At 55.2% G+C, this 12,850-nt stretch overlaps 1 protein-coding gene and 1 long non-coding RNA gene across 10 annotated transcripts in view, besides 3 other annotated features; one reads left to right on the forward strand and one right to left on the reverse strand.

The window, feature by feature from the left end:
* The window catches only part of PPP1R13B (protein phosphatase 1 regulatory subunit 13B), a 115,620-nt gene extending 114,097 nt beyond the window's left edge, over nucleotides 1-1,523 (reverse strand). For 7 of the 9 annotated variants that reach the window (XR_007063997.1, XR_001750206.3, XR_001750205.3 and 4 more), the window contains exon 1: nucleotides 981-1,523. Coding sequence is in view for 5 of the 9 variants with exons in the window: in XM_005267487.6 (XP_005267544.1) it covers nucleotides 981-1,193 (213 nt within the window). In the remaining 4 variants the exon portion in view is untranslated. Of the gene's footprint in view, nucleotides 1-7; nucleotides 285-980 lie in introns of those variants that run through there. The other 2 variants (NM_015316.3, XM_017021116.2) reach the window with 1 other exon arrangement.
* Nucleotides 164-603: a silencer, noted in NCBI's record as "silent region_6177". NCBI's record gives its function as "represses an Ori minimal core promoter by ATAC-STARR-seq in GM12878 lymphoblastoid cells {active_cell/tissue: GM12878}" and the evidence as "EXISTENCE:reporter gene assay evidence [ECO:0000049][PMID:35858748]".
* Nucleotides 430-10,758, forward strand: PPP1R13B-DT (PPP1R13B divergent transcript). The gene is made up of 3 exons (NR_038436.1): nucleotides 430-452; nucleotides 7,005-7,111; nucleotides 8,833-10,758. It is a non-coding gene; the product is annotated as a PPP1R13B divergent transcript (long non-coding RNA).
* Nucleotides 624-753: a silencer, noted in NCBI's record as "silent region_6178". NCBI's record gives its function as "represses an Ori minimal core promoter by ATAC-STARR-seq in GM12878 lymphoblastoid cells {active_cell/tissue: GM12878}" and the evidence as "EXISTENCE:reporter gene assay evidence [ECO:0000049][PMID:35858748]".
* Nucleotides 774-843: a silencer, noted in NCBI's record as "silent region_6179". NCBI's record gives its function as "represses an Ori minimal core promoter by ATAC-STARR-seq in GM12878 lymphoblastoid cells {active_cell/tissue: GM12878}" and the evidence as "EXISTENCE:reporter gene assay evidence [ECO:0000049][PMID:35858748]".
* Nucleotides 10,759-12,850: the final 2,092 nt, after the last annotated feature.

The raw sequence follows: 12,850 nt of genomic DNA on the forward strand, positions 1-12,850 counted from the left end.
CACCCACCGGCATCATCGCGGGGAGAGTCCGCGACGCCCTCGGCCGCCGCCTGACAGGACGCTCCGCGCCGAGCTGTGCCCACCGCTCCGGCCGCCTCCTAAGGCCGCGCTCCCGCCGCCGTGCTCTCCGGCCCGGCCGCGGCGAGGCGGCAGCTGCGGCGGGCTGCGGGGCTCTCGCTGGCCCTGTCGCGGCCGCCGGCGCGCTGCGTCGCTGTCCCGGGCACCCGGCCGCCGCCGCCGCCGCCTCAACCTCAGCCTCAGCCTCAGCCCCAGCCCGACAGCCTGCGGCCCGCCCGCCCGGCTCGCTCTTCAGCCCCCGCAGGCCCCGCCCCCAGCGCGACGCCCCGCACGGGTCCCGTAGCCCCCTCTGATTGGCCCGGTGGGAGCGGGGGCGGGGAGAGGGGCGGGGCTTCCCGGCTCCGCCCGCTACCCTCGCTCTCAGCGGCGGCCAGGTGCGTGCGCGTCCGCGCTCCCGGCGGCGGGGGAGGGGCGGACGCGCAGTGGGCACCGGTGGCCTCCCCCGCCCTTGCGTGAGCCCCGACTAGGGAAGACCGCGGACGGTGGGAGGACTGAGGCCCGACAGGGAAGGGCCGGCCCGGGTCCCGCAGCGGATCACGGCAGGGCCGGGACTCGAACCCGGGCTCCCGGGGGCCGACTGTGGGCCGGGAGCGTCCCTGCGGCGACGGCGCGCGCCCGCACTCTGACCGCGGCCTGACCCCCGGCTGCCGGCGCGCCGTGGGGCTGCGGCCCAGAGGCCAGTGGGAGGGGCGCGGGGGGCCCCCGGAGCGAGCATGTGACCCGAGGCCGCGCGCTCGGAACCAGCCCCGGCCCGACGCCCTTGGCTGGCACCTGCTTCTCCCCCACCGGCGTCTTCCGCGGCTCTCGGGGCCGCGCCCCCCGCACCAGCTCCCGAGCCTTGGCCTTCGCCCGAGCGATCTCCCGCCTAGAACCCCGCGCCCACCTGTGCCACCTGTGCCCACCTGCGCCAGCATCCCTCGAGGTCCAGCTCCAGCGTCCCCGGGGAGGGTCCGGTCCTCGTCTCCAGGGCCTGGGTCTCTCCCTGCAGTCCCGTCTCCAGAGGCGCCGCCCCCTCGGGCCTGAGCGCCGGAGTGACAGAGCCCTGGGCAGGGCCCTGAGCAGACCCTCAGTAAAGGCTGCCAGGGGGGTAGGCACCCGCTCGGGGCCCCCCACATGGTGCCATTCGCCCGGACCGCGGCGGAGAGCAGACAGGGGGACTGAGGTGCTCCCCGCGGCAGCACCGAACTCCCACGGGCATCAGAAGGCAAGGTCTGCGGATGGCCCCAGACACAGAAGGCGTAAGCCGCCCTGGGAAGCGCCGGCCCAGTGGAGAAGGCCGCCGCGAGGTCAGGGTCAGTCTGGAGCCTGTCTGGTTCTCGGAGAGGCTTCTGGCTGCTGCAGAGTGGGGGCAGAGCAAGGGAGGAGGCCAGGGAGCTCCCACCAGCCCATTCCTGGGGAGCCACCCCTGTCCCTCAGAGGCCACGGGGGCTCGTGTTTGCGAGTGTGGACTTTCCAGTTAGACAGACTTGGTTCAGCACCGCCTCCGCCACACCCTCGCCTGGGATCCTAAACAAGCCGCATCTTCTCTGCATCGTAGTGTGCTTGTCTCTGTGATGGGAGAGTGTAGGGATAATAGTGCCTGCCTCGTGTCAAGAGGCTTTTTCGGATGCGAGGGATGGAAAGCGCCCAGCACAATTTGTGGCACGTGGTAGCTGTTCCATAAATAGCATTCTGTAGTTGGGCCGTGATTAGCAAGGAGGCTTAGTGTACAGACGTCCCTGGGATTTTTAAACCTATCCACACCTGGGCATGAATGGCTAATGACACCCCTCTTCTGGGAGCAGAGTTTGGAGAGAAGAGGAGGCTCTAGATAATGAGTGATCCTAGGCTGAAAGTCAGAGACATACTTAAGTTCTAATTCTAGCTGCTCTGCTTCTGACCTCCTGTGGGGCCTTAGGCAACTTGCACTCCTTCTCTGGGCCTTGGTTTCCCCAGCTTTGACAGCTGATGTCCCTGAGTCACGAAGGGGTACTTCTGGCCCACGAAGCCTGACAAAGGACAGGTTTTGCCAAGGCTCTTCAGAGAGGTGCCCCCCGGGGTAAGGTGATCCAAATGAGCCTGCTCTTCCAGGAAGGGAAGCATTGGCACAAGGGCTCCCCTCTTGCCTGCAGGACCTGTGGGCACAGACAGTGGCAGCTACCGTGCCTCACACCAAAGCATCCTATATCCTCCAGGTAAGGGTCCATTTGAGGCAGGCTGGTCAGCTCCCCCTCAAGTCCTTCCCGCTGGTCCCCATCCTCCTCTCCACCCAGCCTGCCACCTCCAGGCATCGGCCCATCACCTCCCACCTGGACCAAGCTCATTCATTATAAGCCCACTGCTCTAGCCTCCACGCCCCCACCATTCCCAACACGCCCCTGCCCTCCATCTTCCTGGAGCACACACGGCCCAACCCTGTAAAGCCCTTCTGTGTCTCTCCATTACACAGACCAAAGTTCACGAGCAGCCCATCAGGAATCGCCGTGAATGTTGTTAATGTGCAGTGGCTCACGCCTGTAATTCTACCACTTTGGGGGGCCAAGATGGGAGGATTGCTTGAGGCCAGGCCAGGAGTTCGAGACCGGCCTGGTCAACACAATGAGATCCCCCCATCTCTAAAAAAAAAAAAAAAAAAAAAGGAATCACCAGTAATGATGGGATATAGGCATTAAGGTTACGGAAGAAGATGTCCATATTTTTTAGAGATGCATCCTAGCATATGTAAGGGGTCTGCAATTTGTTTAAAAACAATTCAGCCAGAGGGAAAGAGAGCCAAGCAATTAGGAATAACTGAAACATACGTGGCAAATTCTTGATAACATTTGAACCTGGATGGTGGGTATGTTGGGGTGCATTGTACTTTATACTCTATGTTTGAAATATTTTATGTTAAAAATGATTAAAGGGGCCGGGCGCGGTGGCTCACACCTGTACTCCCAGCACTTTGGGAGGCCGAGGCGGGTGGATCACGAGGTCAAGAGATCAAGACCATCCTGGCCAACATGGTGAAACCCTGTCTCTACTAAAAATACAAAAATTAACCGGCCGTGGTGGCGAGTGCCTGTAGTCCCAACTACTTGGGAGGCTGAGGCAGGAGAATCACTTGAACCCGGCAGGCAGAGATTGCAGTGAGCCGAGATTGTGCCACTGCACTCCAGCCCGGCAACAGAGTGAGACTCCGTCTCAAAAAAAAAAAAATGATTAAAGGGGCTGGGCACGGTGGCTCTGCTTGAAATCCCAGCACTTTGGGAGGCCAAGGTGGGTGGATCACTTGAGGTCAAGAGTTCAAGACCAACCTTGCCAACACGGTGAAACCCCGTCTCTACTAAAATACAAAATTAACTAGGCGTGGTGGCATACGCCTGTAATCCCAGCTACTCGGGAGGCTGAGGCTGGAGAATCACTTAACCCAGGAGGCAGAGGTTGCAGTGAGCCGAGATTGCGGCACTGCACTCCAGCCTGGGAGACAGAGCAAGACTCCATCTCAAAATAAATAAATAAATAAATAAATAAATAAAAGCAAGGCATGGTGGTGCTCACTTGTAGTCCCGGCTCCTCAGGAGGCTGAGGCAACAGGTTCACTTGAGCCCGGGAGATGGAAGCTGCAGTGAGCCAAGATCACGCCACTGCACTCTAGCCTGGGCAACATAGACCCTGCCTCAGGAAAAAAAAAAATAAAGATTAAAGGCTGTAGATTAAAGGCTGGGCATGGCTGGGCATGGTGGCTTAAGCCTGTGATCCCAGCACTTGGGAGGCCAAGGCGGGCGGATCACCTGAGGTAAGGAGTTTGAGATCAGCCTAGCCAACATGCTGAAACCCTGTCTGTACCGAAAATACAAAAATTAGGCCAGGTGCAGTGGCTCACGCCTGTAATCCCAGCACTTTGGGAGGCTGAGGCAGGCAGATTGCTTGAGGTCAGGAGTTCGAGACCAGCCTGACCAACCAGTCTCTAGTAAAATACAAAGTTAGCCAGGCGTGGTGGCACACGCCTATAATCCCAGCTACTCGGGAGGCTGAGGCAGGAGAATTGCTTGAACCCGGGAGGCAGAGGTTGCAGTGAGCTGAGATCGCGCCACTGCACTCCAGTCTGGGCAACGGAGTAAGACTCTGTATCAAAAAAAAAAAAAAGTTATCTGAGCATGATGGTGGGCGCCTCTAATTCCAGCTTATCGGGACGCTGAGGCAGGAGAATCTCTTGAACCCTGGAGGCGGAGGTTGCAGTAGTTGAGTTTGCCCCACTGCACCCCAGCCTTGGTGACAGCAAGACTCTGTCTCAAAATAAAAAAATAAAAGGCTGAGCATGGTGGCTCATGCCTGTAATCCCAGCATTTTGGGAGGCCAAGACAGGAGGATTGCTTGAGCCCAGGAGTTCGAGACCAACCTGGGCAACATAGCAAGACCCCCCCCCATCTCTATTTTAATTTAAAAAAATTAAAAATGATTAAATACTCTTAAAACAGATAAAAAGTCCCTTTAGGGAGGACATTAGTATATATTCATATTGGCATAAATACATTCTGGAAGAATCCAGGGAACACTAATAAAGTGATGACTGCACGTGGGAATGGGAACTGGGTTGATAAGGGGCAGAAATCAGAGTGAGGCTTTTCACTATTAGTTTTTGAAAAATAAACTTTATTTTTAGAACAGTTTTATAGAAAAATTGCAAAGAGTTTGAAATACAGAGAGTTCCCAGATACCCCTTTCTCCATCCAGTTTTCCCCATTTTTTAACATCTTACATCAGTACAGTACATCTGTTACAACAAATGAACCATTATCTATACGTTAGTATCAACTCGGGTCCATACTTTTCCCAGATTTCCTTAGTTTTTAGCCAGTGCCTTTGTTTCAGGACATCACGTGGCGTTCAGTCGTCATGTCTCCTTGTCTCCTTAGACTCCTCTTGGCTGTGACAGTCTCGGCTTTCCTTGTTTTTTTTTTTTGTTGTTGTTGTTTTGTTTTTTTGTTTTTTTTTTTTTGAGACAGAATTTTGTTCTCACTGCCCAGACTGGAGTGCAATGGCGCGATCTCGGCTCACCGCAACCTCTGCCTCCCGGGTTCAAGTGATTCTCCTGCCTCAGCCTCCCGAGTAGCTGGGACTACAGGCACCCGCCGCCACGCCTGGCTAACTTTTGCATTTTTAGTAGAGACGGGGTTTCTCCATGTTGGTCAGGTTGGTCTCGAACTTCCGACCTCAGGTCATCCGCCTGCCTCAGCCTCCCAGTGTGCTGGGATTACAGGTGTGAGCCACCGCTCCTCGCCAGCTTTCCTTGTTTTTTATGGCTTTGACAGTTTTGAGTGCTTGTCAGGTATTTTGTAGACTGTCCCTCAGTTGAAATGTATGTGATGTTTTTCTAATGATTACACTGATGTTATGAGTTTGGGGGAGGAAGACCACAGAGGTACGGGACCATTCTCATCCGATTGTATCAAGGATACATATGATCAGCATGACAGTGCCATTGACGCTGACCTTCATCTCTAGGCTGCTGTTGCATTTCATGTTTGATTTTTGAATCAGGTGACTATATTACTAAATTACAATAACATGTTTTAAAACTTGACTGGGCATGGTGCCTCATGCCTATAATCCTAGCACTTTCAGAGGCTGGGATGGGTGCCTTGCTTGAGCTCAGGAGTTGGAGACCAGCCTGGGCAACACGGCAAAATCCCATTTCTACCAAAAATACAAAAATCAGCCAGGTGTGGTGGCATGTGCCTGTGGTTCCAGCTACTTGGGAGGCTGAGGTGGGAGGATTGCTTGAGCCCAAAAGTTTGAGACCAGCCTGGGCAACATGGTGAGACCCCATCTCTACAAAAAAATTTTGTGTTTTTTGTTTTTAGTTTTTTTGTTTTTTCAGACGGAGTTTCACTCTTGTCACCCAGGCTGGAGTGCTGTGGCACGATCTTGGCTCACTGCAACCTCCACCTCTTGGGCTCAAGCGACTCTTCTGCCTCAGCCTCCTGAGTAGCTGGGATTATAGGCATGAGCCACCACGCCCAGCTAATTTTTGTATTTTTAGTAGAGACGGGGTTTCACCATGTTGGCCAGGCTGGTCTTGAACTCCTGACCTCAGGTGATCCACCCACCTCAGCCTCCCAAAGTGCTGGGATTACAGGCATGAGCCACCGCCGCCTGGCCTCTACAAAAATTTTAAAAATTAGCTGGGCATAGTGGCAGGCGGCTTCGGTCCCATCTTCTCAGGAGGCTGAGGTGGAAGGATCTGCTTGAGCCCGGGGGTCAAGGCTGCAGTGAACCGAGATAACACCAGTGTACTCCCACCTGGGTAACAGAGTGAGACCCTGTCTCAAAAACAAAATAAAACAACAGCAACAAAAAAAAACATGCCTAAGACCCGTATTGGTTTGCTAGGCCTACCATAACAAAATACCACAGACTGGGTGGCTTAAAAAAACAGAAATTTATTTTCTCACAGTTTCGTGGTAGTTTTCTGGAAGTCCAAGCTCCAGGTGCTGCAGGGCTGGACTCTTCCAAGACCTCTTGCCTTGGCTGGCAGATGACCACCCTCTTGTGGGCTCCTAACATGATCTTTTGCTGTGTGTGCACCTGCCTGGTGTCTCTCTTTTCATAGGTCATAGTCACATTGCATTAGGGCCCAGCCATAGGACTTCATTTTACCTAATTACCTGTCTGAAGACCCTACCTCCAGGCCCTTGTCCACCCACCTCCCTGTGTACGAGAAAGCACTCTGTGTATCCCTCAGAAAGGAGTGCTTCCTGTTCTGTTGAAAATCAAAGCCTTCTTCTGCAGCATTTCCCCAGATCGCCCAGGGATGACGCATCTCACCACATTCCTCCAGACTGCCCAGACCTGGGTCACGCATCACAATCTGCCACCTTGGAGCTGTCTATGTACCTGTTGCCCCAGGGGCCAGCAGGCTCCATGAACAGGTGTCGCCTGGTTTCTTCCATGTACCCACCCAGGTCCAGGCCCTGGTGACACAGCCTTGAGCAAAACAGTGAGGTCCCTGTCCTCACAGAGTTTGTATTCCGGCCAGGCAAGAAGACGATAGACAAGAACACAAATGCTGGTAAGTGTATTTTTAACAATAAGTCCAGGCCGGGCGCGGTGGCTCACATCTGTAATCCCAGCACTTTGGGAGGCTGGAGTGGGAGGATCACTTGAGGACAGGAGTTAAAGACCAGCCTGGGAAACATAAGGAGAGCCTGTCTCTACAGCAAAAATACAAAAAGTAGTCAGACGTGGTGGAGTGCTCCTGTAGTCCCAGTTACTTTGGGAGGCTGAGGTGGAAGGATCGCTTGAGCCCAGGAGTCTGAGGCTGCAGTGAGCTGAGATCGCACCACTACACTCCAGCCTGGGCAAAAGAGGGAGACCCTGCCTCAAAATAGTAATAACAACAATAATAATAAAGCCAGATAATGTGACAGAGACAGCTGCCTCTGCCAGGGAGTTGCAGGCTGCAGGAGCAGGGAGGGGGAGGAGCAGGTAAGGAAAGTGCTGGAGGCTATGGAGGGAGGTAGGGTCAGGCTTCAGTTTGCGGGCTGTGGCGGGTCTGGATTTTGTTGGCCCTGAGGGCAGAGGGCCTTCCCTCTGGTGTTTCCAGGGGAAACTCTTTCTGACAGCTGATTTACAGTCTTAAGCTTCCGGTGGAAGTTGGCTGGCCTTCCGCAGCAGTGGAGGAGGACGGGCCCTTAGGATGAGGAAGGTAGAGGAAGTGGATGTGGGGAAGGGCTTCTATCTGGGGTAAGATTTGAAGGGTGGGAGTTGGGAGGAGGAAAGGAAGGACTCAGGATGGCTCCAGGCTTTGGGGCTGCTGTGCAGGGCCTGCAACCTGGCACCCACAGTGCCTTATCCAGGCCTAAGAGAGGGCGCTGTGGGCTCTGTGCTGACATCTGCTTGGCCACGCTGTCCCCAAGAAGGCCACATTTCATGACTCCCCTTCCTGTCCAGCCTGGGCCTGTGGCCCACTCTGGGATCCATCTGGCACTGCAGCCAAATGCCAGGTGTTACCGTGCCCCTCACCCCCTCAGTCCTTCCCCCACAACACACACACCTCCTTTTTTCTCTGGCCCCACCCCAACCTGAGCTGCCCTCACCTCTACTCCAAGTTAGCCTCCCTCCCGCTGGAAAATCCGACCCAACCACTCCCCACTGGGACCCCTCGGGGCCTCCCTTCTGCCCTGACGGTCAAGGGTAGTTAAACCCCTGAGGGCTTGGGTTTGCGGCTCTCCAGCCTCATGCCCTCACCATCCCCCGCTCCAGGCCGACTCCCACCCCACCCTAGGCCCCGCTGGCAGCCCCTCCCCAGTGTGGGGGTGGGGACTCTGGGACAATGGGACGTGCAGCTCCTGTTCCACCCCCACAGCTGCCCGGGGAAACCTGTTTTCACAAGTGTTGGCTGTGAACCAGTCGTGGTTCCATTTGCTCCTCTGGGGCATTAAGTAATATTTTTTGTTATCCAGGTTAGAAAATAAGTTGGTGGGAAAACACCCAGCGATCTGCTTGTTTTTGGTCTTTTGTTTGGCCGTGGGTGGCCCCTGTGGCCTGTGAGGCTGCACTTGTGTCCCCCACCAGATCCCCAGTGCCCAGCACACAGTAGACACCTAATAAATGTGCATGGAGGGCAGACTCCACCGCTGCCTCCACCAAATAAAATACAGCTGGAAACCCAGCGACATCCACCCCAGGCCACAGAAAAGAGTGTCCCTGCCAGGAGTTCCCACACAGGAGTCTTGGAACTCAGAGAGGGGGTCTCCGGAGCCAACCCACCTGTTTTCATTCCTGCAACAGGCCTCTGTCACAGGATCACTGTCCAGGGGTAGGGGTCGCCATGCCCAGAACTCAGCAAGTGTTCAGCTGACTGCAGCCTCATCTTCCTGCGAGGACTCAGAGCGGGGCAGGCGTTCTCTGAAGCCCAGAGAGGCTTTGCCACTTGCCCAGGGCCACAGAGCTACGGAGCCTGTGACTGGAACCCGGAGCCAAGTCTATGGCCTCCACCTGGTGGCCGCTGCCTCCAAAAACTCCCAGCTCCACAAGTCCCGCCCTCTGCCTTGGCAGGGTTTGCCTGGTGTCCTACACACACTGTACTGGTCTTTCAGGGTCTAAACCTCTCTTTCTCCCTTCCTTCTGGAATCTGTCTGGGGCCCCTGTGAGGAAGAAAAGGCTGCTGGGCCAGGACACTTCATCCATTCATTCATTCCTGACCTTTCTTGCGTCCTCCGTGCTAGGCCCGAAGGAGGGTAGGAGTCTTGGTCCCTGCACACAGCGAGCTTTCCCTCTGGATGTTGTGTCAGGCCACACACTTTAGTCTTCCGTCTTTTCTTCTTCACCAAGCATCCCACCCTAAGCGCCCGCTCACTCCTGCCTTTATTTCGGGTTTTCCCTGACATTCTTCTACCTAACCCACTGCTTTTCCCCAGCTCTCTGCCTCTTGGCTGCTTCCAGTTCCCGCCATTACTCACAACGCTGTCACATCAGTCAGGGTCCCATAGGGAAACAGATGGCTTCCTCAAATTAGGGAAATTCCAGGAAGGCGATTTACAAAGGGGGATGCTTACAGAAGGAAGGGGGGACCACTAGGGGAGGGCAGGACTCTGGGACCAGCATTAGGGGGACTCTTTCCACCATCAGGGCTGGAAGGAAGAGAAAGGGGAGCTCTCCAGCAAAGAAGAAAGTCCAGAGGAGGCTGGCCTGGAGGGCAGTGGCATTGGTCAGAGGCAGGCCCAAAGAGGGAGGGGATCCATTCCCGCATCGCTCCCTCTCCTGCCTTTGACCTCCCACAGGGCACCTCCACATCTGGCTGCAGCCCATGGAGGTGGCCCCAAAAGGCAAAAGCAGGGTGAAGGATGGAGCATCAATCTGGGAGGACGAGAGCCGGACACCCAGCACAGGTGTGCAGGAAACTTCTGCACAAACACCTTTCTTCTTTGTAGGGGGTTTCTGTAGTATGAGACATCAAGAGAATTCCTGAGCCAGAGCCTTCCTGGTTTGTAAGAACAACTGCATTTTAACAGAACCCCAAAATACGTATGTCACTACCCCACTGAAGGCCCTTCCATAGCACCATCTATGGCTGTCATGTAACAGCCACACCTGGTGGCCTCGCCGGCAGTGCCCCAACTCTGCTCCCAGCAAGCCAGACTGCTGTGTTCTCCACAGCCCCTGTGGTCCGGGCTGTGGCTCTCCAAGGCCCCTCTCTTCCATTCTAGGTGGATCTGCTGACACGTGGTCTGTCCTTCAAGGCCTCCTCCGATAGTGCAAATGTATTTCCAAATACCACCACCTTAAGGGTTAGGATTTCAACACATGAATTTGGGGAGAGCACATTCAGTCCATAACAAGCAGAGCCTCATGAATGGGATTAATGCCCTTATAAAAGGGGTCTTAGAGAGACCCCTCACCCCTTCTGGCATGTGTGGACACTGTCAAAAGGTGCTGTCGACCGGGTGCGGTGGCTCACGCCTGTAATCCCAGCACTTTGGAAGGCTGAGGCGGGCGGATCACCTGAGGTCAAGAGTTCAAGACCAGCCTGACCAACATGACAAAACCCCGTCTCTACTAAAAACACAAAAATTAGCCGGACGTGGTGGGCACCTGTAATCCCAGCTACTCAGGAGGCTGAGGCAGGAGAATCACTTGAACCCGGAAGCGAAGGTTGCAGTGAGCCAAGGTCGTGCTGCTGCACCCCAGCCTAGCGACAGAGCAAGACTCCATCTCAAAAAAAAAAAAAAAAAAAAAAAAAGGTACTGTCTATGAAGCTGAAGCAGAAAGCAGGCCCTCCTTAGACCCTGCACCTGCTGCTGCCCTGACTTTGGACTTTCCAGTCTGCAGAACTGTGAGAAATACATTTTTGTTGTTGACAAGCACCCAGTTAATGATACTTTGTTACAGCAGCTGCAACTAAGACACCACCCCTACACTACCCCACTCACTCCCGATTCCCCAAACCCTGTGCAGAACTTAGCAGTGCCTAGCCACATCCCTTAGCAGTGCCTAGCCACATCCCTTAGCAGTGCCTAGCCACATCCCTAAAGCCGCTGCTTCTCCATCTTCAGCACCTGAGAATCGCCTGGAGGGCTGGGTCCATCCCCAGGGCGTCTGCTCCAGTAGGTCTGGGATGGGCCCAAGTATTCGCATTTCTAACAAGTTCCCCTGTGCTGCTGATGCTGCTGGTCCAGGGACCACACTTGGAGAGCCACTGCCCCAGGCTGTCCCCACCCGACCCGTCTGGCAGCCCCTGAGGCTGTGGGAGGCCACTCCACCACGATGGCTGCTGCATAGGAGCAGTCCTCACAAAGACTGGGGCTGGAGGGTCCCCGGCCCCCTCCCCTGACGGGCCGGCTCTGCTTGGATGCACGTTCCACACAGCTGCCCAGAGGCCACTGAGCCCAGGCAGGCGCAGGGTACCCTGTTCAGCTATGCACCCTGTCCTCTCTCCTTCCCTCCTCATCTCGCTTCCTAGGATCACTTTCCAGACCCACAGCTGGCCCTGGAATCCCAGTTTCTGGGCTCACCCTCTGGACAGCCAACCCAGGATGCTCTGTTCTACTTTTTCTCTTTCCCCTAACATATATTGCCTTCTAATATAACATTTTATTCACATATTATATATATATATATATATATATATATATATATATATATATATATATATATATATTTTTTTTTTTTTTTTTTTTTTTTTTTTTTTTGAGACGGAGTTTCACTCTTGTCGCCCCAGCTGGAGTGCAATGGCGCGATCTTGGCTCACCGCAACCTCCGCCTCCGGGGTTCAAGCGATTCTCCTGCCTCAGCCTCTCCAGTAGCTGGGATTATAGGCATGTGCCACCACGCCTGGCTAATTTTGTATTTTTAGTAGAGACGGGGTTTCTCCATGTTGGTCAGGATGGTCTCGAACTCCCGACCTCAGGTGATCCACCTGTCTCGGCCTCCCAAAGTGCTGGGATTACAGGCATGAGCCACCATGCCTGGTCTTATTATATTTATTGTTTATTGTCTTGCTCCTAGTAAAATATAAGTTCCAGGAGAGCAGGGATCTGTATATGTGTCCCAAGCACTTAAAACAGTGCCTGACACTCAGTAAGTAACCACTAAGGAAGGAAGGGAGGAAGGGAGGGAGGGAAGGAAGGGAAGGGGGAGGAAGGAAGGAAGTGAGGGAGCCAGGGGAGGGAGGGAGCGAGTGGAGGGAAGGAGCCAGGGAGGGAGGGAGGGAAGGAAGGAAAGGAAGGACCACATGAGCTGGCCGGGTGGGGACAGATGTGGGGCCTTCCTGGCACCTGGTCCCATAAACCTCTGCAGGTGTTTAGTGAATGTTGAGGGTGGGGAAGGGAAAGGGAAGGAGGCCTGAGAAGAAGGGGTGCCTCTTCTCGGCTGACCTCTGAAATTGGCTGACCACCTCCTTGGAGGACAACTCCTTGGCTCCCTCACAGGTAACTAAGGGGTGGAGAGTGTTGCCAGTTCTGCCCAGTGAAGCTGCTGGCAAACCATTCCCAGCTCAGACCATCCCTGCTCGCTCCCTTGCCAGTGTCTAGCCTCTGTGCTCCCTCGGCACCCACCTCCCTGCAGTCCCCTGGGTGGGCACCCAACGGCCTGCCTCCGTCCAACTCTCGGTCCGAATTCTCTGTTCCCTGGCCCACCTGGAACTCTCCGACCATCTGTGCTCCCTGTCACAGGGGCTCCTGGTGGGAGGAAGTTGAGCCTGGGGAGAAGCGACTCGGCTGGCACGCTGGCTTCCAGCCCTGCCCTGTCCTTCCCGCCGGCCAGCTGCTTCCAGGTCAACCTTGGGTCCCACTCCTGAGGACAATGTCCC

Source organism: Homo sapiens, chromosome 14, assembly GCF_000001405.40.
Source record: "Homo sapiens chromosome 14, GRCh38.p14 Primary Assembly".
NCBI lineage: Eukaryota > Metazoa > Chordata > Mammalia > Primates > Hominidae > Homo > Homo sapiens.